The sequence below is a fragment of the Homo sapiens genome, chromosome 10 (assembly GCF_000001405.40).
Source record: "Homo sapiens chromosome 10, GRCh38.p14 Primary Assembly".
In the NCBI taxonomy this organism is placed as follows: Eukaryota; Metazoa; Chordata; class Mammalia; order Primates; family Hominidae; genus Homo; species Homo sapiens.
In genome coordinates this window covers 94,126,017-94,152,729 of record NC_000010.11, presented here as the reverse complement: position 1 = coordinate 94,152,729, position 26,713 = coordinate 94,126,017, and the positions used below count along the sequence as shown (strand labels likewise).

The 26,713-nt window shown below is 42.0% G+C and overlaps 1 protein-coding gene and 1 pseudogene across 32 annotated transcripts in view; both read right to left on the bottom strand.

The window, feature by feature from the left end:
- Positions 1–26,713, bottom strand: part of PLCE1 (phospholipase C epsilon 1) — a 338,893-nt gene that overhangs the window by 180,094 nt on the left and 132,086 nt on the right. For all 32 annotated transcript variants that reach the window (XM_047425285.1, XM_047425289.1, XM_047425297.1 and 29 more), the window contains one exon: positions 20,271–20,556. In XM_047425285.1, coding sequence (XP_047281241.1) covers positions 20,271–20,556 — 286 coding nt within the window. The remainder of the gene's footprint in view (positions 1–20,270; positions 20,557–26,713) is intronic.
- On the bottom strand, positions 13,728–15,000 carry HDAC1P1 (histone deacetylase 1 pseudogene 1; annotated as a pseudogene).

Sequence of the window (26,713 nt, the reverse complement as noted above, 5' to 3'; positions counted from 1 at the left end):
GCTTAGCTATCTAAGCATATTACTTGAAAAATTTTATTTAGGTATCTTATTCAGTTCTATCAGCAACTCCGTGGCTGACGTACAATTAGCATTCCATTTTATAGATGAGGAAACTCAGAGATGTTAAGTAACTTGTCCAAATATTCACAGGTAGTTAACTAATGAGGACAGAATTCTGAATCACATGCAGGTGACTCCAAAGCCCAGGCTTTTAACCATTTGTTGTAGTTTGGGTACCAGAGTTTAATTTATGAGGGAACTCATAATTGTTCATTTTCCCTTTTCAACTGAAATGGGACCAAAACCTAGAAGGTCATAGATTTGCAGCGTTCCACTTGTTGACCAAATGCTATTACACATTTAGTACTCATTGTATACTTACTATGTGGATTCCACCTATGCGATGTATCTAATCTAGCAATAAACAAGGTCGTATAGGAACTGTTTTATATTTAACTATGCAGTTAATAATTTTTTAAGCTACGTTTGACGATTTAAGTAGAAAATCTTTATTGACAAAGTCAAACCCACTTCTGCTGTCCAGGAGCTCTTTAGTTTAATTAAGTCCTATTTGTCTGTTTTTGTTTCTGTTGCATTTGGTTTGAGGACTTAGTCATAAATTTTTTGCCTAGGCCAACATCCAGAGAGTTTTTCCTAGGTTTTCTTCTAGGACTTTTATAGTTTGAGGTCTTACATTTAAGTCTTTAATCCATCTTGAGTTAATTTCTGTATATGGTGAGAGGTAGGGGGTCCAGTTCCATTCTTCTTTATATGGCTAGCCAGTCAAACCCACTTCTAATAGGAAAAAAATGACTATGCCAAAGTGTCTAGTGATTCATTTTGGGATATTATCACTGGGTGCATTAAAATCACCATAGAGTTGTTTTGTGGAGGGGGCTTGGGAAACTACAACTTTAAGCCCAACCCCAAGGACCTTCTTTGAGTCTTGGCTCAGGACACTACCTTACTGTGGCTTTCTTCTTAACTCTCCAGCCATGGTGCTCATTTCTGGCCCCCTTGCAGCCTTTCAGCCTGAACTTACAGTTCTCAGTCCTTTGCACACCCCTCTCTCATCCTAAGAAAGCTCACCTCAAGCTGTAACCATCGCAGTTAAGCAGATGGCTTATAAATGTGTGACTCTGGTTTTGACCTCTCACCCCGATAAAATCCTAATGCTTCTGTTGGCAGTCTATTTGAATGTCCCAGCATCTCAAAGTCAAGATATCCAAACTGGATCTAACTTTTCACGTTCTTTTTATAGCACAACCTTCATTTCCCCAGGACCAAAATCTTGGAGGTATTTGTTATTCTTTCATGTCTTGGGCTAAGTTTGCGTCCATTTGCCCACCAGTTGTCTTGAGAATTGTTCCCTTCATGTATATTCTCATTGCTTTCCCTTGACTTCCACCCAAGTGAATATTTGCAACAAGCTCCTGATTGTCCTATGCTGTGAAAGACCAAGGGGAGTCCTTATGGAACCCACTACAGGCCAAAGTCTAGAGGATTAGATGGGCTATTTGGCCTTGTGAGAGATGATTTCCATGATGGCAGTGGGAGGTGGGAGGATGGAGGCCAGCCCAATGAGACATGTAAAGAAAATGCACATGAGTTATACAGGTCTGGGGGAGACCTCAAATTTCCTTCCTGAGGTCAGTTTCTTTCTGATTTGGTATAAAACAGGACATGGAAGAACAGCTGCTGGCCTCTCTCTGGAGAGACTGAGCAGTACAGACGAAGGAGGTGTTGGCCCCCACAGCTGACCATGGACAGCTCAGACTGCCAGAACCTGGTATCTGTGAACCCCCATGCCCACTAGACTGCTGCCAGCTCTCACTGTGCAAATCAGGGCTGCAGGCCTGAGAGTCCTGGGCACCTTCACTCACTGCAGATGCTTCCTCCAACCAGAGGCCTCCCCAGGGCTTCATATCATATAAAGGAGAGTGCTCAGAGGCATGGGCTCTGAAGTGGGATGTACTCAAGTTCAAATCCTTGCTTAGATACTCCCTAGATGCTTAACCCTCTAATTAATCACTCAGAACAGCAGGCCATCTGGTCAACCTCCTGTGAACTCCCAGCTAGAAGGACTGCAAAACACCATGGAAGATAGGAGATGATACAGCAGAATATCAATTTCCCTAAACTCTTCACAGATAAGATAGCAGAAATGAATTTCCCTAAACTCCTCAAAGGTAAAGTATCCTATGTGGCTGGAACAAATACTTTGGTGTGCCTCTGAGTGGAAGTGGATTGGGATCACTACATCTTCTTCAAACAGCCTGCTAAAATAATTGAACCTACTAAGCCTAACCACAGGGCCTTGGGCTTATAGACTGAGGCAGGAAAGTTTGGGGTTCAGAACAACAAAGGGTCTGAAGTCACCAGCTATCTTCTCTCTCCTTAGTCTCCTTCTTAAATAATTGAAATTTGTAGGGGCATCAACTTAGCCTCTAAGTCACAGTTTTCCCATCTTTGAAATGAGGATTATAATTCTACCTTGCCAGGTTGTTTTGAGAAGTACAGAAGACATGCATACAACACTCAGCACAGCGGCGGGGCCGTAGTGGAAGGCCCGCATGTTTCCATATGACCTCCACGGAGGTTGTCATATACATCGGGAGTGTGTTAACATCTACTTGTTTATAAGCACATGAAAGTTAGCAACATGGGTAAATAGGTCATTTATACACATAAGACACATGGCTCATTCACTCCATTGGAGTCCTAATTACTTACTGGCCAGTTATTTCTTTCAGGGCAATTTCCTTTCTGTCTACAGTTACAGATATAAATATAAAAAATACAAGAAGATACTACTTTGAGACAGATGGTGAATCATATCTAATTACTCTGTAATCCCTTCACCTGAAGGGACCCGACTGCCCAGCCCCTGCTGTCTCTGAAGGAAGAATCATCAACCAGAACTTCCTTCTGGTCAATCTGAGTGGGTTTTATCATTGTTGAATATGGACTCTGGGCGCCAAAGAGAATCAAACACTTTCTCTATGGAAGGGAATTGGGAGATTTTAAAGTTGACCTTGAAACTGAATGAGACCAAGAGACTCAAAGACAGAAGGCAGAGGAGAAAAGATTAAGGTTGTATAGCCAGAACTAGAACCCAGGTTTTTATCTGGGAATTTTATTTTAAAAAATGCAGTTTCTGACCCAAAGTCTCAGGTGAGGCTTGAGATTCTGATGGTTCTGGGACCACACTTTTAGTTGCAAGAGGGTTGATGTTGGTAAAACACTTAGAACAGTTTATGACATGTAGTGCCTGATTCAATAAAAGGCAGTTATTATTGCTGTTGTTTTTATTACTTGCAGCAACTGAGCTGCACGTAGCTCTCAGAAATTGAGAAATGGCATTTGGGTTAGAAGTCAGTTTTCTGTGAACTTGATTGGCTCAGATCAGTCAAGGCTCAAAGACTGATTCAAGTAGCCTCTGTGAACTGACCACACCAAGCTTTTGAAGCCACCTTCTGGGCTGCTCTGGCTATGCCGACTGTGCCAAGAGCACTCAAATGCACTGACTGAGGAGTTTAGCAGCATGGAACCCCTTGGCACACGGGGGTAGATTTCTTACAATGGTGCTGTGTCATAGTAAAAATGCCTCCATTCTTAACTGACTCTAATTTTCATTACATTTCATTTTTCTCCCAGTGATGCTAAATCTTCAAGACTAGTCCCTTTACTGTAACCAGTGTCAAGGTAGAGTGGAATGAACAGGGCCAAGGGGATTAAAGATCCGGGGTGCTGTGTGAGAGGTGAGAAAGTTCTGGAATAGCCATGGCAGCCAACTCTTCTCAGACAACTAGTTTAATCTCTCCAAGTCCAGACATTCAAGGCAGAAGCAAGGAAGAGAATAAGCACTGGAGGTCCTACAAGTGGAATCCATTGGCAAGGCTGATCTGTGACCCACTTTTGATAAATGAGGTATGACGTCTACGCTTTGCTGAACATATCTGTTTCTGTGTTTCTGTGTGTCTGTATAGCCTTTCCTTCCTTTTCCCTTTCCTTCCACTTCCTATAGTCCCTTTTTCTACCCTCTCTTTCTTCCATCCTTTCTCTCTTTTTCTTGGAAAGGAAAATTTTGCATTAAAAAATTCCAACTTTCTCATGGTTGAGCTAGAGAAGGAGAAAAAGGATTTATTTGCCCGTGCATGATCCAACTGAACTAGGGAGGAAGACCAGAGAGACCTTCTAGGGCAGGTGAGAACTGATTGTGGCCGATACACCTTGGAAGAGTGATAAGGGCCAGGTGTGAATGGAAGAAATGAACCTTGAAAGCAAGAGCTGGCAGTAGCTGCTGTCCTGGATGCCTATCTTCCCAAGATTTGCCCTGACCTAGGGCCCAATGCACCTGCAAACCAGGACATCCATTCCAGCTCCATTTCTCAAGGCCCCCTGTATGTTCCCTGCTCCTGCCAAACATGAACCCTCCAGCCCCCATCCTGAGACATATCCTGCATCTAAGCCTTTGTTCTTGCCATTTCTGAGTGCCTTCTTCGCTCCATCTCCACTTTTTTTGGACAGTGTTCTAATCACTTTATATTCATTAATTTACTTTTTAACCCATTATAATGACCTGAGGCAAGTGTCTGCATTGTCCTATTTTACAGGTAAGATGATGAAACTTAGAAGAGAAGAGTTAAGTAACTTGCCCCAGATCATGCAGTTTCTATATGGTTGATCTGGGACTTAGGTCTATCTGTCATCAAACTCCACATTCTTAATCACCAATTTTTGCCTTTTGTGTATCATGCTGCAATGTAAACACTGGTTCATGTCTGTCTCTTTGTTAATCTAAATCATACTCCTAGAATTAAGAACAGTGCTTTATTTCATTGTTTTCATCCCTAGCTAGAACAGGGGTGGCAGGCATTCTGCAAATGTTTCCTATATTGTGCTACATTCTATTATATTTCCTACAGGTAGACTAGAGGCAGGGTAAGAGCTCCATGATAGTTCAGATCACACTTCTGTGAGCTATGGATTTGTGACCATCTAGGGCTTGGTTCTTAGCTGCTCTGTGCTTTGGTTTCCCATCTCTATGCCCATCTCCATCTTTAACAGATTGTGAATATCAGGGAACTAGGGTATTGTTTCATTCTTCTTCAATCCAGCCCCCTCCGCTGTCACAATATAGTGCCTAGCATAGCATCTAGTCCACGGCAGGCACTCAATTGACTATTTACTGGATGAATGAACATTCATAATTCTCTAATCTGCCTCCCCTTCTTTCTTTCTTCCTTTCTCTCCTCTCTCTTTCTCTCTTTCTCTCTCTCTCTCTTTCTCTCTCTTTCTTTCTTTCAAGGCAAGGTCTCCCTCTGTTGCCTAGGCTGGAGTGCAGTGGCGCCATCTTGGCTCACTGCAACCTCCATCTCCTGGGTTCAAGTGATTCTCCTGCCTCAGCCTCCCGAGTAGCTGGGATTACAGGTGCCTACCACCATACCTGGCTGATTTTTGTAGTTTTAGTAGAGACAGAGTTTCCCCATGTTGGCCAGGCTAGTCTCGCACTCCTGACCTCAGGTGATCTGCGTGCCTCGGCCTCCCAAAGTGCTGGTATTACAGGCATAAGCCACCATGCCCGGCCCTGCCTCCTCAACTTGAAAAAAAAACTGGGATTAAAAGAGTGAAAATGATGCCACTTAACTGTTGGGGGAGAGAGACACAGCGTTTCTCTACATTATGCGTGTAGAAAACTAGATCGTGAGGCTGGAAAGAGTGACAAAGGATATTGAAAATAGAAATAAGGTTGGGAACTTACCAAGACCCTGTCCATGGAAAATGTGAATGCTACCTGGAACCTTTCCAGCCCAGTTCCTGAATCTTTTGTAACAAAAGGTCTAACGGGCTTTACTATACCATTAGCAGGGAAAATATAGTATGGTACACATTACAGGTTCAAAACACAATCCATTTGTGGATTTGCCACTGAGGCATTAAGACATTTGAGAAAAGAACAAAGGAAAGCACAGATAAAGCCCCATCTTGAGCTAGGCAGCCGAAAGAAGACATTAACCCACTCGAAGACCCTTGAGGCCTCCAGCCTTTCCCCTTGGATAACTCTGAAAGGCGTCCAGTGAGTTCCAATTTGGGCAGGGGTTTGTTTATTCTGCTTGGTTCAAGTCAGGGCTACGGATCCCTAATGGTTTTCATGTCCCTAAAGGTTTTTCACATTTGGTCAAGACCTATGCTTTATGTAAGCCTGGAGAAGGCCTTGCTCCCAGCTGCTCTGGCTGTGCCGACTGCACTGAGAGCACTCAAATGCACTAACTCAGGGGAGGAGTTTAGCAGCACGGACCCCTTGGCACGAGGCGGGAGATTTTTTACAATGGTGCTGTGTCATAGTAAAAATTCCTCCATTCTTAACTGACTCTAATTTTTATTGCATTTCATTTTTCTCCCGGTGATGCTAAATTTTCAAGACTAGTCCTTTTACTGTAACCAGTGTCTCATGCCAATGAAAACTAAGTGGGCCCATGCTGGCTTCTGGCCCTCTATTTTCAGTGCACCCAATTCCTAATCCAGGGAAAAGCATTCAGGTTTGTAAGTGCCACTCTCCTTCCTATAGAGGGTGCCTCCAGGCTATTGGTCCTAATGTGCCACTATTCAAAATTCAACCTGCTTAAGGGTCTGCAATGGCTCTCTAATGCTTTAGGTTCAAATTTTCACCTCATTCTCCAAACTGTAACCACAGCTACCAAATGGACCTTACCTCTCACTATGTCCACTGCATCATTTCTTCATTGTCTCACAGTTGCTGCACACATTCTCACCCTGGCACTATCTCACTTGCTTTCCCTGCTTGGAACGCTTCCTGTATCTCCCAGGAAGAACCCAACCAGAAGGTTGTTCACAGATGACCTGTCTGTATTTACAGCCCTTCTCCTTTTTGTCCCAACTCCCAGTTCAGCCTCCTAAATCCTTGAACTGAAGTGCCCCAAAGCTTGTGTGAATCTCAGAATACAACTCCAGGGTCCAAAATGGAGATGCCTGCAGGACCAAGCAGGTAAAGGAAATGAGGCTAGAGCTGAACAGGACACCACCTGGAGGTGGGGCCAGGTGTGTGGTAAAGAGCTGGTGTGTCTCATCTTGTGGGGGTTAGTATGGATCACTGTCAGCCCACGGGCCAAGGGAGAATAGTGGCCCAGGGTTGCCAGAGAAGCCAGAACATTTTAATGCAAGATTCCCAATTTTTAAAGTACTGCAACGGTCAAAGAAAAACACACGTGGCTTGGATTTGGCCCATGAAGAAGGAATTTGTGTTCCTGCAGTATAAGTAAAACACTGCTACAACTCATAGTCATCAGTGAGTATGGCATGGGGTAGGGGGAGCATTAACAGTCCACCTGGGCCTGGAGGGAACAGGTTTTTAATTCCCCTTTGTAGTCTACACCACAAGCTTCCTTCTAAGTCCAACGTCTTGAAATACAGTTCCCAGGAAGTAGAGAGAGCTGGGTTAGTAGCCATTACTCCTTTTCCCAACTCCTCGAAACAATTAAAGAGCATTTCAACTAACACCATCTCAGTCTTTATTTCAGAATAGTCATTTATTTTCAAGTTCAATATCCATGACCATTTCAAATGTAAATATTTTAATTTGGGGTACAATGAGGGCTGGAAGGGGTGGTGCCCATGGGGGCATCCCTACTTTATTTTGATGAGAATCATCCTTTTGAAATGTAAGTCTTATTGTGTCACTACTTCTGCTTAAAACCCTCTGATGGCTTCCCATTGCTTCTACAGCCCTTAACAAGAGCCTATGTTATCTGGCAGTTTGTTTTGCCTCTCTCTGTTTTGCCTCTCTCTATTTTTCATAGGCAAAAATATGAGGCTTAAATTAGGTAACACTTTAAAAACACTTGTCACAGTGCCCAGCTCACAGTGAGTGCCCAATACCTGTTAGTGCTTGTTATTCCGACTTCTCCAGACTTTATTGGCATAAGAAACCCTCCAGCTCACCACTCTCCGCCCAGACTTCAAACTTGGCATACTCCCTGCTGCCACTGGGCCTTTGCACATATGATTGCTTCTGCCCAGACACTCTTTCAGCCCCTCTTCTCTAGTTACCATTGATTTGACCACTTCTCTGCCTGTGTCCAATCAATGGCTTCTTTTGCAGAGTGAAATGTGTTTTACTTGGCCCATCAGCTAACAGGAGCTGCTTCTTTTCCCATTTGATTGACTGTGTTATGAACATGTAACCATCAGTGGGAAGACTCCCACTACCCTCATAGGTGTCTATATCAAAGAATGGAAGGATATCATTTCCACAGACATCCTCAAAATCACTGGAGGTCTCTAGGGCAAGGGGGCAGCAGGTATGTGGGAAAATGATCAATTCTGTAGTCAAATGAACCTCCATTCAAATCTAAGATTTAGTGTTATACTCCATGTATGCACACACACACACAGAGACACACACACACACTGGTATAAGTCAGTACACGGGATCCCTGAGTGGGAGATAATACTGGAGTGTTTCCTAGTAGTTAAGAACATGGCTTTGGGAATCAGAGAGGCTTAGGATCAAATACTGGCTTTGCTCCTACAAGCTGGTCAACCCTAGTTAAGGATTTTGGGTCTAGACTTGGTAGTGTATCAGCCTAGATCTTGTGAGTTGCTAGGGTCTCTGAAACTTGTTATACTCTCTCTTACCCTCCATGTTCCCAGATCATCCACAACAACATCTATTTGAAATGGATTTTAGATGAGTCTGCTTATTGATGCCAAAATGTGTCTCTGAGTATAAACAGGGGCAAAATACCCGCTACTGTCACACAGGGTGTTTCTGGTGACTGTAAAATTCAAAGGTAGATCCTTAGTGGTGTTTGAGCATACATTTGTTCAAGGAATCACTTGTGACATTAACATTATAGAAAATATTTTTTTAAGTTTGTTGTCACAATGAAATATGAAGTTAAAAAGACAAAATACCAAATATATATTTCCAGTTGACAAAACTTGTTAGACTTTCCTGATGATAGTATAATATCTGTAATTAGAATTCAATTACCAAAATCTAAACACCGTTAAAAATATCTTTTTGTTACTTTAACTGTAATAATTTATTCACTATTTCTTGGTTTGAAGACTCAATTCCAGTAGAAGTTTAAATTATGACTCAGACTATGGTGAGATATTCTCTTTTTTATCCTCTTAAGTATTTGCTACTGACCCACATGTTATTATAAACAGATTATAAGCATTTTATTATGTTCTATAAATGTTCCCAAGAGCAAGAATTTTCATAGCTCATTAAAATGAGGCTTACTCTTTAAAAACAATAAACAATTTAGAAACACTCAAAAGTAGAAGTGTCATGTATTGAAAAAAATCCTTTAATTTTATTGTAATGAGTAAGTCATCTTCATTAAAATATACAAATTTTAACTGGAACACTAAATTTTGTCCCAGTCATAGATTTTTAGACAAGGCTCCCAATACCAGGAGTAAATGCTTAGCATCTTTCTACTCTGGAGGGAATAAAATAGAGATGATATCAGCAGAGAATTAAGTAAAAACAACAGAAGTTTCATAATATGGGTCAGGGCTTGTTTTCCCTGGTTAAATACCTGTTTAGATTTCTTCAGGTACTTAAATGGTTGTAGAAACCTCAGATGTCAATGAAGATGGTATAGGGACTTCCCTCTGGGGCCCTATATCCTGTGCTTATTTCAATTATAACATTTATACTATCTTAAAATTTGCACGTTTATTTGTCCATTTCCTCCATTTGTGGGTAAATCCCTCGAAAGTAAAGACTGTATTTTGTTTGCTGTTATATCCTTGGCACATAGTAGATGTTCAACAAATATTGGTCAAATGATTGAATTAATCAGTGGCCTAATGCATGGGAACTAAGGAAAATCTCGCTAAAGGAGTTACACAGGTGTGGCCTCCAGCCACTAGATACCTCCCCTTAGGTGTCCCAGGAGTTGCTAGTGCTCTAGGCCCACAGCTAGGGAAACCTGGAGGGTACTTGTCTTTTCTTGTACATCTACAACTGAGCTAACAGCAGAGTCTTTGAATTAAGAACAGTGGAATGCTGGCATTTCAAGATGGTGGTGGCAATCCTCATTACTACCATCATCATCACCATCATCAGCCCCAGCATGACCATCATCATCATAAGATTGGTTGAACATACATTAGGTACCAGATACTATGCCAAGCTGTTTTTATTTTTAATTTTTAAAGTTTTTGTAGAGAGAGAGTCTCGCTCCATCACCTAGGCGGACAGAGTGCAGTGGCAGGATCATAGCGCACTGCAGCTTCAAATTCCTGGGCTACAGTGATTCTACAGCCTCAGCCTTCTGAATAGGTGGGACCACAGGCACACACCACCACATCTGGCTGGCTTTTTTTTTTTTTTTTTTGAGACAGCATCACGCCATGTTGCCTACACTCGTCTTGAACTCCTGGCCTAACGTGATCTTCTTGGCTTTGCCTCCCAGAGTACAGAGATTACAGGCATGAGCCACCTGGCCTAAGTTCTTTATATACATTGTCACACTTATTCCTCAAAACAACTCTCCGAAGTTGTTGCTTTTATTCCCATTTTGTAGATGCAGAAACTAAAGCCTAGAGGTACAATCACCTGAATAGGATGACCCAATGTTGAAGTCAAGGCTCAAATCCAAAACACAATGAGGCTCACATTTAAAGGCCTTTCTTGGAGGTAACCACTTCTGCAGAGTCTGCAGCTATTCTCTGGCATTTTTAAGAACTATTGTTTTACTTAAATATTCAGTAAGTTTTGGAGGGAAGTTTTGGAATCTAATGGTTGTTTTTTTGGATGCAGTGTTTCAAATAACTATTTTGCAAATAAATTTCTGCAATATGGTCCATTCTGAGTCTCTGTAATTAGGACTTGACATTTTTATAACCAGCTCAGATATGTAAACCCAAAGTGTCTGTCTGGTGTTGCTATCCTCACCAGTCATCTTTCTGACTGCATTGATTAGGATTTAACCAACTTTCAATTACCCGATCTTCCTTCTTTCCTTCCCCTCCCTCCCTCCCTTCCTTCTCTCCCTCCCTTCCTTCTTTCTTTCCTCCCTCCCTCCCTTTCTTCTTTCCTTCCTTCTTTCTTTCCTCCTTCTGCCTTCCTTTCTCCTTCCCTTTGCCTTCCCTTAGCCTTCCCTTCACCTTCCCTTAGCCTTCCCTTCACCTTCCCTTAGCCTTCCCTTCACCTTCCCTTAGCCTTCCCTTCACCTTCCCTTCGCCTTCCCTTCACCTTCCCTTCTCCTTCTCCTCCCTCTCCCTCTCCCTCTCTCTCTTTTTGGTGTCAAAACTTTATGGAGAATTAGGCCATAATTTGTTCCTTTCATAAGCTAGTTTCTTGGAGCAAAATTAGGGCACATAAGAGAATTAAATGGAATCAGTCTCCCAGCTCAAAATGGGTGTATTCACACCTAGGAATGGAGTGCTATGTTCAGGTCACACCTGGTGACGGAGTCACATTCCTTGGTCACAACTGGTATGGAGTCATATTCTTAGGTTACACCCAGGTGTAGTGTCACACTCCTGGATGATACTTGACCACCTGTGGTCCTAAAACAGGTTTTTGTCCTGTGCCTACCAAGCTTCCTGGCCCTATGACCTACTCATACCACCTTTAATGTAGCAGCCTAGCACTTTATGAATTCTCTTTAGGTGGTAAGGGCTCCTTCAGTAGACCTGAAACCTAATATTACATTTTCTCTGGAATGAGAAATATTATCTTACAAGTTGAAGACTTCCAGATGTGATCTTCTCCATTCTTAGGTGCCATAGCACTAGGCCACAGTGGGCAGCTAATGAATACTTTTTAGTTGATTAACTGGTAGAGAAACACACCCAATATTACATTAAAGCATACTTTTAAATACCAAGAAAATAATTTCAAGGTCACAATACTAACAAGTCAGGATATTTCTTTAAATAAACAAATCTTGGAATTAGAGCTATGCACATGCCTTCCTTGCCTAGTAGGCATGTAAAGGGTAATCGTTTTGATTTTGAGGAAGTCAACTAAGCCAGCCTTTACAAACTAAAGTATTTACGAGTTATAATCATGTAGTTCAAATGTGTATGTGTATTCCTACTATAACTTCTTGTTTTTTATTCAAAGCTATTAACTTTAGAGAAAGATACAAATAGAATATACAAGCTTATTGTAGTGAAAGAAAATAAGTTGAAAACTTGATGGGAGTCTCACTGTGTTGCCCAGGAGGGAGTACAGTGGTGTGTTCTCGGCTCACTGCAACCTCCTCCTCCTGGGTTCAAGCAGTTCTCATGCCTCAGCCTCCTAAGTAGCTGGGACTGCAGGTGTATGCCACCACGCCTGGTTAACTTTTTTTTTTTTTTTGTATTTTCAGTAGTAACAGGTTTCATCATGTTAGCCAGGCTGGTCTCAAACTTCTGACCTCAAGTGATGTGCTCGCCTCGACCTCTCAAAGTGCTGGTAGACTTTTCTATCTGAAATAAAATATTCCCTCTTTTCAAACAAAAATATTGTATCTGTAAGGTATTTTTGTTTTCATATCAATATTCTATTTATAGCTGACATGTGATAAATAACTTTAATATAGCTAAATATAGTCTACAGACACACATACCACACACTCAGACTGGTTAAAAATGAACAGTTTAGTTTTTTTTTCTAATACATAATGTATTATTATTTTTAAAAATAGAAATGTACCATTTTATTACAAAGTCTCACAAAAAGAAAATAGTATCCAAAAAAGGAAACTAGACTACCAATCTGCACCTGCAGAATTGGAGGAACACAGAGGGCAGGCAGTGTGAGCTTCCTGGCTTACTTGAGGACAATGGGGAGGTATGAGAACAGAACCAATCTAAAACATCTAATATTACCTTAGGAACCTGGAAAGAACAGAGGATCCTTGGAGATCCAGCCACCCCTTCTAGAATGCTAATAAGGACACCTTTCCAAAACTACTATATGGCTACCTACAAGTATCCCTCCCACCCAGCCCTGGCTCCCTTTATGGTTCAAAGTTAAGAACTGGGGAGGAAAGGGGGGCAAGGCAGCTCCTGGAAGAGCTCACCCAGCACAGCTGCCCTGGACTCAGGACCCTGGTTTCTGTCTTTCACTCTAGTCCCCAAGATATTTATGTTTAGTAAATAAAAATTTACTAATAGTCTAGAGAAATAGAAAATATAAAATCTAAGTTGTTAGGGGACCCAGCAAGAAGCCAGAGCTGGAAAGGCCTGCTCAGCCAACTTGACCTCCTTCTGGACCCCTTTGGCCTCTGGCTTCTCCTTGGTCTTCTCTGCTGTGACTTCTTCTCTTCTGGGTCTTTCTCTCTTTCATCCTGTTTAGACCCACTTGGCTTTTTTGAAGTTGGAAGAATTCTTGCAGCCACCCTTTCCCTCTTCATCAGAGTCGGAGAATTCATCCTCACAGGCAATTTGTTGTTTATTTTTTTGTTTTTTGAGATGGAGTCTCGCTCTGTCACCCAGGCTGGAGTGCAGTGGCCCAATCTCAGCTCACTGCAATCTCTGCCTCCTGGGTTCAAGTGATTCTCCTGCCTCAGCCTCCTGAGTAGCTGGGATTACAGGCACGTGCCACTATGCCCAGCTAACTTTTGTTATTTTTAGTAGAGATGTGGTTTCACCATGTTGGCCAGGTTGGCCTCGAACTCCTGACCTCAGGTGATCCACCTGCCTTGGCCTCCCAAAGTGCTGGGATTACATGCATGAGCCACGATGCCCGGCCTCACAGGCAGTTTGTTTGTCAGAGGAACAGATGGAGATGCACTTGTCAGGGTCTTCGTCCTTGTTGTCACTCTCCTCTAGGTTACATCCTCAGCAAGAGCCCACATTTGGGCCCTAGGTGTGTGGGGCAGCATTCTCAGGTTCCCAGACAGTTGCTGTTTGATCTTTTCCAGGCATCATTAGTGATCTGGTTAGTTATATTGGAAAGACTGATATGAAGCTTGAAATCTGGTCCAAAGTATTTGAAGTAGTCATTATATGGGAGCTCATTATGGATCTCTGTGTCCAGGGCCACAGCTGTTTCCTATGTCCAGCAGCAGGTGACATTGCGAATGATGTAACACCTCCTCCTAGCATCAGCATCAGCAAGATGAAGCTCATAACAAATTCCACACACTTGACATGCCCTTTGATGTTCAGATTGAAGCAACCTAACTGATCCCCAGATGGAGTCTGAGTCACACTGTATGACCACAGCACTAGGCTGGAACATCTCCATTACTACGGACATATCTGGCTTGAAAATGGCCTCACAGGATTCATTATCAATCCCATCTCAGAGTGGGTGGTTAATAGCATAATACTTGCCTTTTCCAGCCCCAATATCCCATAGGTCCCCAGTTCCTGGGAAGTACTCTCCTCATTTATGAAAGGACACAGTCATGACCCAGTCTGTGGCATAGAAGGCCTCTTCCATGCCATCACCGTGGCATGGAAGGTCAATACGCACAATATGCACTGTGGAATATCAAGGTCAATATGCAGCACCCCCTGGTGATTCTCTAGCAGGTCCAGGAGGGCCAAGACTGTATCATTGACTTAGCAGAAGCCAGATGCCTCAGACTTCTTTGCATGGTGCAGTCTGGTTCATGGTGATGTCTGTCTGCCACTCATTAAGTTTCACAGAACTTGCCACAGAGCCGCCCACAGACAACTGACGAAACTCAAAGAGGCCATGAAATACTGGACAGTCCTCACCAATGTTGAATCTCTGTGCCTGCTGGCTGTACTCAGACATGTTATCAGGATGAATGGAGTGCAAGGATTTAATGTAGTCATCACTGTGGTACTTGGTCATCTCCTCAGCACTGGCTTTGTGAGGGCAATAGATTTTCATTTTTCAGTGGAGACTGTAGTTGAGCAGCAAATTATGAATCATGCAGAATTGGTAAAGCTTCATTGGGTGGCTTTGTCCAACATTCTCATCATGGTAGTAACAGACTTTCCTCCTGGCACCCTGTGTCTGCACTATCTTGCTGGCCTCCATCTGTCAGAAAGATGGCAGATGTCTTGCTGGCCTCAGCAGGTCCATCTTCCCTCCACTCTATTACACAATTTAAATATGAATAACTATGTTTTGTCTCGGTTATATGTAACACTTAATCCTTTAATTTATGTGCTTTACTCAGCAACAATTTGAGAAGGAAAAATTGAGTTTAACACACTCAATTTATTATGTTGGCTGGTACAATATGCACATTTGAAAACACTTAGCTGCCTTATATGAAAAATCCTCTTGTCATCACTTTATTTTTCTAATTTTGCCATTTTTAGTACTTCACATTACCATCAGTTATCTCAATTTTTTCTCTCCCTTTTAACTTTATCTTGTTTTTATAATTTTCAGTAGGTAAAACATTAAAAGAAAAGAAAAAGCAGGTGATAGCTTTGAAAATTTCTTCCTAATTATCGAAGTCAATAATTCTTTTGACTGCCACTGCTATAAGGTGTTAGTCCTGAGATTCTAACAAGATTAATGGGGAGAGGGAAAAGGGCACAGGGACAGGAAGTGGAAGGATCTTTTTTTTTGAGATGGAGTCTTGCTCTGTCGCCCAGGCTGGAGTGCAGTGGCGTGATCTTGGCTCACTGCAAGCTCTGCCTCCCGGGTTCACGCCATTCTCCTGCCTCAGCCTCCCGAGTAGCTGGGACTACAGGCACCCACCACCATACCCGGCTAATTTTTTTGTATTTTTAGTAGACACGGGGTTTCACCATGTTAGCCAGGATGGTCTTGATCTCCTGACCTCATGATCTGCCCGCCTCGGCCTACCAAAGTGCTGGGATTACAGGCGTGAGCCACCACGCCCGGCCAGAAGGATCTTAATGTATCAAACTAGTGGAGGTTCCTGACTGAAAGGTAAAGGCGCTCTATTTTTCCACTTTGAGACAGCACACACTTATGATAAGGGCATATCCTTGTGGATCAATGCTTCACATAAGAAAGTGTCTCTGGTTATTTGGCAAACCTTCAGCTTTATAGGCAGATGACCTTTGGTGGCACTGAAGGCAGAAAAGCAGGCATGTTTGTGTTCTGATTATTGGCCTTCTGTATCAATCCATAAAGCCCCAAGGCTGCAGAATTCTGGACAATCAAGCCTCGAGTTACCAGTTCTTGACTTGTGAATAACGATCAACTTGTTGGACATTTCCTTCTATTTTCGCCTAGTACAGGTGACCACGACCCCCATCTCATAATCATAACCACTTCCAGAAGAGGAGCGTTTCGGTTCTTTCTTACATCCTAATAGACTAGGGAGGGGGATGAAAGACCTGCAAAACATGCCCTTTTTCCCAATTATTTCTTCTTATGATAAAATACATACAACATAAAATTTACTATCTCAACATTTTTAAGTGTACAATTCAGTGGTATTAAGTAAATTCATATTGCTGTGCAACTATCACCACCAGTAAGCTCCAGAACTCTTCATCTGGCAAAACAGAAACTCTATAGCCCGTAAACACTAACTCCCCATTCCCATTGCCCTTCCTCATCCCCGGTAACCACCTTTCTACTTAAGGTCTCTATGATTTTGACTACCCTAAGTACTTCATATAAGGGAAATCATACAGCATTTGTTTTTCCCTGTTCCTTTTTCTCTACCTTTACCAACTCCGTTTAATTCACTTCAAACATGTTTTCTCTTATGGAAGAGGTTATTCTTTTGAACTTATTCCTTTTTCTTTATCTCTGGGGAAAAATTTAAATCTTGTGCTACCTCCTTCCATCCTTCTTCATACCATTTATAAACATCTCGTTAAAAAACATTAGGAAAAAATTACTGGGGCAATTTTCTGACTCCTTCATATAGGTACAAGTTTTGAAGTGTAATTAGCCATAACAAAAAGCTACAGCTGCCAACATCTAAAATCTCAGAAATGGCTAAAACTCCTTTTCGAAATCTCTGAAAAGTTTAACTCTTTACTCATCTTTAATAAAATTATTGCCCCTCAACAAGAAATGTCTTCTAACTCACTTCTATTGCTTTTTCTTTGAGGCTAATGCTCAGTATTCCAACAATAGTGTTTTCCTCTTTATTTCGTGGGAAATGTGCAGATCACAACTGTGTTATGGGTTACAGAGGTTTTTGAGGACTAGAGTCTGTGAACCAAATCACAACATTTAATACTGCTTATCCAGGAAAGTGTTCTAAGTTCTATATCGCTCCTGGGAAATGAACTTGTAGAATATAACCCATTTATAAACTGAAGACTAAGAGTGTATTATATATTCCCCAATAGCTAAAAGCTGTTGGCCAAATCTATGCCACAGGACACATACTAAAGAAGAAAAAAAAGCTCACAACCACATCACAGCAGCTGCATGTACTCCTGATCCTCTGGCAGAGTACATGGCCATCAGAGTTCAAGACCCACTAACCAATATGCTGATCCTACAGATTCTGTAAACACTCTTTGACTTTGAAGACCCATCTTTTTTTTTAACTTAATTTTTTTAAGTTGACAAATACAAATTATATATATTTGTAATGTACAACATGATGTTTTGTAATATGTATACATTGTAGAATGGTTCAACTGAGCTAACTAACATATGCTTTACCTCACATACTTATCATTTTTGGTGGTGAGAAACCCATCTGGTTTTCTAATGCATTTTCTTCCACTGCATGTTAAAGGAATATGTTTAACTGAGGCACGTAAAGACTTTGAAAACCAAATGGGAGAGGATGCTGAAATTGAAAAATGTTTCCAAGATAGTAAGTCAGAACTACAGAAATAAGCTTGGAGCAGAAGGCAACCAGCTAATTGTATTATTCAGCAGGAGTTTCTAGAGGGTTCTCAGAAATCACCAAAGAGCTTCAAAGCAAAAAGTTAAAGAAACTTCCAACTCTTGCATAAAACGCCAATTTAAAGATAACACATTAGCTGACAGTCTGGTGAGTGTCAGAGCTAGAAATATTGATCTATGAGGTTCTATTTCGAACAGGGAAGTGCAAATACAATTGAAGTCAAATTATGATCAGGGCCATAGATGCACACACCAGCAGCTTCCTTATTTCTCTCCACAGACCTGTGGAAGACTAGAGGCGTGCCTGCCTTGGTTGGGCAGCCTAGAGATCCGTTTCTTCCTACACACTACTGAGCACAAAATGAGTTAATAAAAACTGTATACATTTGTCATGTAAAACATGATGTTTTGAAATATGTATACCTTGTGGAATGGTTCAGTTGAGCTAACTAACATATGCTTTACATACTTATCATTGTTTGTGGTGAGAAACCCATCTGGGTTTTTAATCCATTTTATTCCACTGATTGTTAAAGAAATATGTTTAACTGAGGCACATAAAAACTTTAAGGCCATGTGCAGTGGCTCACACCTGTAATTCCAGCATTTTGAGAGGCCAAGATGGGCGGATCACCTGAGGTCAGGAGTTCGAGACCAGCCTGGCCAACATGGCAAAACCCCGTCTCTACTAAAAATACAAAAATTAGCCAGACGAGGTGGCGTGTGCCTGTGGTCCCAGCTACTCGGGAGGCTGAGGCATGAGAAACTTGAACTTGGGAGGCAGAGGCTGCAGTGAGCCAAGATCATGCCACTGCACTCCGGCCTGGGTGACAGAGTAAGACTGCATCTCAAAAAGAAAAAAAAAAAAAAAGACTTTGAAAACCAAATGGGAGGGGTTTAGTCTACACATGTTGATTAACTCATGGGATAAGGCCCTGGCATACCATCACAAGCATTAAAACAATGCCAATTCCACATGCCAATCTCAGCCCAACTTCCTGGGAAGAGTATGATGAAGAATGCAGGCTTGGTACTCTCTAGGTGCCACATCAGAGGGGAGAAACCTTGAGTCTTGTGTGTAGGGAAAACAGCTTACCACCTAGAGACTATAAATTCCATGAGGGCAGGAATTATGTTTTGTTCCTTTTCCAGCACCTAACACCTAATAGGGGCTCAAAAAATGTGTTGAATGGCTGAAAAACATGAAGCCATTAGTGTTCCCACACCTTCTGTTATTCTTCATTCATTTATAACCAATCCCCTGAAGTTCGGGCAACTCCAGAAAACAAACCAACTTGGCACCCAACATAGTACACAAGGAGGTTACAGTATTCCTCTTAGGCCTGTCTAGGGGTGTGTGTGTGGGTAGGAATGGAGAAGGCTGAGGATCAAGGAGGAAGGTCATTGGCCTGCTGGCCTTGGGTCTCAGGACCTGCTATGGAGGGACAATAGCTGCTGTCAGATTGAGTTCTGGCAACCCCCAGGCAGTGGAATGCTGCTTTGCATGGTCCCTGTCTGGTTGGCAGCTTCCTGCCAGGGAAGGCTGCCAAGCAGCTTGTGACAGCTATGCAGTGTACAAGTTTCTGAGGTTGTTTGGTGCACTGCCATTTCTGACCTGCCTGTCTGCTGCTCATGGGAAGTAGCTGGGAAGTTCATATGCCAAGGGACCCCACACTCCATTGGCTTTCATCTTTCAGTGGGATGCCTGCCTATCTTGTCCTTTAAGATGGGAGTAGCTGGAAGATGGCCTTTGGCTTTTCTGGTCAATAGACACCTATTAATTCTATGTATGAAGGAGATCTATATTTCACTCTGCTCCCAACCACAGTGGGTTTTCAATATGACTGCTTGACTATATTTGTTTCCTAGCATCTTGTCATAGTAATTGACATTTGTCATAAACTACCACTAGGAGAAACTACCTGCCTGAATCATTTAAAAAAAAATTAAAGATAGCGTTTTAACCATTTACTTCATTTGAAAAAAAGTTTCAAAAATCTTTTTTTTTTTTTTTTTTTTGAGATGGAGTCTCACTCTGTTGCCTAGGCTAGAGTGCAGTGGCGTGAGCTCGGCTCACTGCAAGCTCCACCTCTCAGGTTCACACCATTCTCCTGCCTCAGCCTCCCGAGTAACTGGGACAACAGGCGCCCGCCACCACCCTCAGCTAACTTTTTGTATTTTTAGTAGAGATGGTGTTCCACCGTGTTGGCCAGGATGGTCTCGATCTCCTGACCTTGTGATCCGCCCGCCTTGGCCTCCCAAAGTGCTGGGATTACAGGTGTGAGCCACCGCACCCGGCCTCAAAATCTTAATGATTACTATTTGGAATGTTGACACCTTAGGGGATTTTAATAAGGGACCACCTTTTTATATTCTCTTAAAGAAGCGACTTTTACTTAAAGTTGCTGAAAAGTGAACTTAATTTTCCATCAGGAGATACATAAATCTTAACTTAGATCCTTCTCTGTAGTCAAAGATAGAAAGTTAAAAGTGAAATTTCAGGCATTACCTTTCAGCATCATTCGTCCAGTGGATCCTCCAAAAGTACTGAGAAGGCCACTTCTTGCTCCCAAAGACGTGGTTGCTTCTAGGAGAGAACCGGTGATGTACTGCGATATTGAAGTCCTTTGGAGGGTGGCGCGATACTCACATACAGTGTCTCGGACACATTGCTTTAAGCATGGACCAACGCTTATCCTTCCATGGGCTGTCTCGGAGGCTGGGAGCTTGGTGAGGAAATGGAGTAGAGATCCAACTGTATTTTCTGTTTCTTCTCTTCTCACTGCATTGTAGATCTGTGAATAGCACAAAGTACAGGAAGTATTAATCTAGTTTCTTAGGAAAGCAAATTAACTTGTTGACAAAATGCCAAGATGACTTATTAAGAAAGAAGGCTCAGATGCTCCAAGTGCAAACACTCTGAGCACTCGGCTCATGCATTAACCTGAACATTCTACAGACACCATCTATTTGGAAAAGCTCTGTGTAGTTATAAAATAGGTCATTCAAACAACTCTGCTATCAAACAGAGAACTTACAAGTCATACCAACCAGAAATACATTCAGCTCAAATTTCTCCTCCTCAGCAGAGCAAAGCTCTTCTGCAGAGAGATGAAGGCAAACCTTTCCTTCTGGTTTTCCTGGACATTACTGAATGACTGTCCCAGGTCTGTCTCCCTCCATGGAGTGTTTCAGCCTGACTTTTATGGGAAATCTTTTCTCCATGCTTAAACTGAAATGAGGATGAGAGGGTCATGGGGAAAGAGAACTTCCCTATTTCCCCTTTGGGCATAATCCTTCAAACTGTCAGCTGAGATCAAAGTATTTGAATCATTTTTTCTCTTCCTCCTCCCTCACCTCCCATATCCAATAAGTTGACAGATCCTGCTCACTCTTCTTGCCCCATCTATGTCACTGTCACTATCCTGATTTCTTCTCCTTTTATCACCCGAATTCACCAAGCATTGTCTCAAGAAGATTGCACTGTTAGGACAGGTTCCTAACCATGTCTCCAATCTATTTCAATGCAGTCATTCAATGTGCATGTATATAGACCCTGCTCTGTGCAAGGCAGTGTGTTGGAAGATGTGGGGAAAGTGTGAGGGGCAGCAGACACCTCTTGTGCTGCTGCAGGATTTCACAATCTTCGATGAGGCCTGAAAATTATAAGGTTTGACATTATTGAAGGGAGGACTTGGAATTTGTCAAGCATTCTGAGAAGCCAGAGACTTCTGGATAGTGTATAAACAAACGGAGGAGACACATAACATGCAGTGAGGTAATCCAGCTCTCTGATGGGGGAATAAAGGTGCTGTCTCTATCATGCTGTCTCTATCATGTCACCTTGAGCACCTTGCCTTGGCTGACTTGTCATTCATTCATCAAACCAACAAATAGTTACTGTTTATATACCAGAAACTATGACAGGGCTGGATAAATAAAATAGTTTCTCTCCTCAGAGTTCACAGTCTAGTAAAGGAGACAGAAAAGCCAAGAGCTTAGAGTAGGGTGGAAATGAAGGTCACCTCCTTCGGTGACACTGACGAATGGCCAGGGAGTAGAAGACTCTCACTGCCCTGCGGGCCAGGCATGTGCCCCCATGATGTTGCATCCTCCAAATCTCACTCAAGAGGGCCTCTCTTGAGCTGTGCTAGGTCCTTATGATACCCCAGAATGCACCGAGTCCTATGATATTCAAACTGTGTAGACCCTAACTAGATTTTATCTGTCTTCCTCTGTCTGGTGGTATATATTTGCCACTTGAAGGCACAGTGTGATTCTTACCTTTAATTCTCTGTCATTAAATTTCTAGTGGCCAGCATGGCCATGGAGATGGTGTGCTGGGACAGAAAGAGCCCAGGTTTGGGGTCAGGTACATGAGGTCAGGTACACCTGACTCGACCTTCACCAGATAGAGAGCTGGTCATTAAGTGTGAACAAGCTGACTTGAATGTTTCAAGACAGCTCCCTCCTCTGTAAAATGGGAATAATAACACTATTCTTAGGGAGATTCTGGGATTCACCATGATAAACATGTAACATACTCAGCCTAGTGTCTAGAAATGATGCTCTTTACTGTTGAGCAAGTCTATAAAAGAGAATACACTCCTTTACCCTCAATGAATAATAGGTGGTTGTATAACTATAGACCACAATCTATGAAATGCAATGTGATTGGAGTTATGCCCTTGCTCTTCTGTGTTTCTGGGCAATATTATCCTAACCCTATTTGGGTGTACTGTGAGGGCAAATGGGGGTAGAGAGCTGCAGATCTCAAGACATAGTTTTATTCTCTTGGCTCCAAATCATACAGGCCATCTCCAACACACTAAGTCCCATGCAAGTCCTTCAGAAGTAACTGATCCAGTTGTGTAAGGAAAAGAACTGACTGGTAGCTTGATGGCTAAGGAAGGCTTAATAGGCAAAGCAGGGTTTGACCTGTGCCTTGGAAAGCAGGCATTTCTCTAACTGGAGCAGCTGGGGAGACAACTCACCATGCAAGCAATAAGGACAGCCAGTGGAGTTTAGAGCAGGGAGTAAGCATAGGAAATAACTGGGGAATGAGAAAGGCCAGGGAACAACTGGGGAATAAGAAAGGTCAGCTGGCCTGATAAAGGAGACCTGGAATGTTAAAGCAAGGAGATTTCACCCATCAGAGGAGGGCACCCCTTGATGCTTTTTTTTGTTTTTTGTTTGTTTTGTTTTTGTTTTTGTTTTCGCTGGTTTGTTTTCAGCAAAGGAATAATGCTAAAATGGTTTTGTCTTAAAAAGATTACTAAGCTGGCAATTCCTAGTTCCTAATAGGTTGGCCTACTTTCTTTACTTGCCAAGCTGCTGCGCTGGCTCATTGTGCATTTGCTCACTACCATGTGCATTCCAGTCTCCACATCAGGCCTCCATAGACTCCCAGTGACTCATTCAGTCTCTTATCCAGCTTTTCCAAGGTGTTTTCCTCAAAACATTCTATCTACAAGGGATTGTATGACCTAAGGACTCCTTGATCATGAAAGTTTAAAAAATCTCAGTAAATCTCTTCTCCTTTTGGAGATTTACATTGCATAATAGAATATTAAAGACAATTACGAGAGTCAGAGTAAACAAAGTATTTTAATTTGCTTAACTATTTCCCATGTTATTTGATCATTTCTTTAAAGAACACAGCCTGTAGACGTAGTGCTGTGCCAAATAATTAATTTACTTTAATCTAATAGCCTTTTCTTATTCCCATTTCTTTGCCCTCTGCAGAATCTCTGAAATAGGCAATCATCCATCCTTCTTGAAGTCTTTCATCTCTTGTCATCTCATTGTTCCATCTCCGCCTTATTCTGCATCTCCCCTTCCACCTCGGGCCTTCAGGACAGTTATAATGCAATAGAAAGGTGCCAACAAGTGCCTAATGTAGGGAGGTCACAAATCAATTGACCATGGGCCAGATTCAGTCAACAGACCTGTTTCATCTGACATACCCTGTTTAAATTCAGGAAAGCTTTACATATACATCTGAAGTTCCAGCATCTCCTGAATAATGAAACAATCTGGTAACACTGAGCATTCCTACATGGTATCAAATGGCTAGATCTTCTACTGTTAGATGGGGCATGAGTTCTCCACTGGATGCCAGTGCCCACCATTCTTTAGTGACCACACCTGGCCAATATCTGGTCACCATTAGTATATGTGTTTTTGACCCTGTCTTAATAAAATACAGATACGGATGTAGATATTTACAACATGTACTGAGCTCCTCCAATGTGTCCTCTGTGTGCTCTTGCCTGTGCTAGTTGCTGAGGATAGAGAGAAAGCCATAGTCTCTGATATCAAAAGGTATTGCAAATCACCTCCAAGAAACTATTAATAAACATATATAAATGCTATGTATATATTAAGTAATATTTCAACATCGTTATCAGCCACATTTCCAAGCCCCCAAACTTGTCTGAAGAAATAAAAGATGAAGTGCTCTGTGAATGAAGCTCTGAACTTCCATCACGATTGCCAATACCCTCACCACAAAGAACCAGAAAGAGATCAAAAATTACTACCAAGATCTGGAATGATGCATCCCAGTCACACCAATCCAGGATGAGAGAAACTCAAGGTGCTTTGTTGGAAAAATGCTGAAGTGTGGACAAACTGGTGGTAGATATGGCAATGTTCAGGGAACCTGTCAAAATCAAGGTATTGATCAGGCACAGTGGCTCACACCTGTAATCCCAGCACTTTGGGAGGCAGAAGTGGGTGGATCACAAGGTCAGAAGATCAAGACCAGCCTGACCAACACGGTAAAACCCCGTCTCTACTAAAAATACAAAAATGAGTTGGGTGTGGTGGCACATGCCTGTAATCCCAGCTACTCGGGAGGCTGAGGCACGAGAATCACTTGAACCCAGGAGGCGAAGGTTGCAGTAAGCTGAGATTGCACCACTGCACTCCAGCCTGGTGACAGAGTGAGACTCAGTCTCAAAAAAAAAAAAAAAAAAAGTCAAGGTATTATCTCTTCCTAGATCACTCACTTATGAAAAAGAAGGAATCATGGAAAAGCCCACATGTAGAGTGTGAAGAAGAGACAGTAGAGAACGGTCATTACAAGTATGGCTCTGGAGCATTGGTTTGAATTCCAGCTCCCATGCTTCCCAGCTGTGTGACCTTGGATAAGTTGCTTTGCCATTCTGTGCCTCAGTTTCCTTTTCGCCAATATAGGATATAATAGTATCTGCCTCATAAGGTTGTGGCTAGAATTACAAGCTTTGATAAATGTAATATGATTAGAACAGCATCTGGCACTTAGTAAATGCTCAACAAATACTAGTTTTTATGATGACAGTGATGATGAGGATTGTGGCAGGCTACAAAAATGGCCGCGAATTATTTCCTTCACTGACACTGGGCTGGAACTGTGATTTCCTTAACTAATGGAAATTTAGCCAATATGATGCAAGCAGTCTTGAAAAATACCTGTACATTGGAGATTGCTCTCTCTTGTTGCTTTTGGCAACTCTGCAACAACTGCCATGTGAAGAAGCCTGAACTAGATTGCGGGAGGATGAAAGACCATGGCCCAGTCACCCCTGTCACCTTGGCTGATAACTTGCCAACAGCCAGACACATAATGAAACCATCCTGGATCCTAGATCATCCACTTGCCAGTCCAACTGCTGCCACAGATGCATGAGAGGGCCCAGCAGAGATCAGTTGATCCAGACTAGAACTACCCAACTAATTCACAGAATCATGGGCTAAATAAATGATTGTTGTGAAAAGTCGGTACGTTTTGGGAGTCCTTTGCTACACAGCAGATGTTAACTAACACAATGATGATGTGTTTGGAACCATAATAAGTATTTTAATTACATAACAATTGAATCCACACACTAATCTATAAAGTTGATTCATTTTGTAGATGGGAAAGTAAGCCTAGAGAAGTAGAGAAATACAGTCAGCCTTACACACCTAGTAAGAGGCTATGCCAGGATAGAAACCCAGATTTCTCTAACTCTGTGGTCCAGCTTTATCCATTGCACTATCCATTGTCACACTCAAAGCCCAACAGTGGGATAAAGATCACACTGTTAGGGGTGATCTTGGTAAGAGGTTTAGGTGATGTTTACAATGCTGTTGTTATTGTTTTTATTCATGATAATTCCTTTCATGGCCATTCTCAATTCCTTTTGAAAATAGTCAAGTTAAGTCTAATGAATGACCAAATATGCTTCCTTTATGTGAAGATTTATAGTTTTAAATTATACAGTCACAAATGAGAGAAACTCAAGGTTAATATGGTGATGGAAAGTTCTGAAAACTAGACAGACTACTGCCCTACATAGGCCAATATCTTTTTTGAAACAAAATCCAACACATCACAACATGGCATCCACACTTGCTAGACAGCTATGTGAGCATTCATTTACTCAACAAGTGATTTATATTTACTGAGCACATACACTGTGCTAAGCTCAACTGCTGGTGTTCTACCAGTGAGCAAGACGAGCTTCATTTTCATGGGGAAGGCAGACAATAAACAAGTAGACCAAATAAATTAGTAAAAAATTGTAGGCTATTATATATTATCAAAATATATTTCTACAGGACTTGCTGAAGTCATTGGGAGGAAAGGAAAGGAGTCAAAGTTGTTATATTTGGTCACTGCTAAGTTTTTAGAGATGTAGGCTTTATATAGAGAACTATAGATCAATGTTGCAAACTGTGAATGGATCCTTCCATGGGATTACACTCCTCCCATTATGGTAGGTGCTGTGAAATGACATGGCCTGGAGTGGTTTGGGCAAAATGATTTGACACAGTAAAATGACTTAGAGAAAAGCAAGCAATGCTTAGATAACACTTGCATAAACACTTTAAAAGGCATTTGCAGTTCCTTGTGACTCATGAAAGAGGGATGCCTTATAGAAGCCAGTACTAGGATGTGGAGTTTAGGCCCAAAACAAAAGAAAA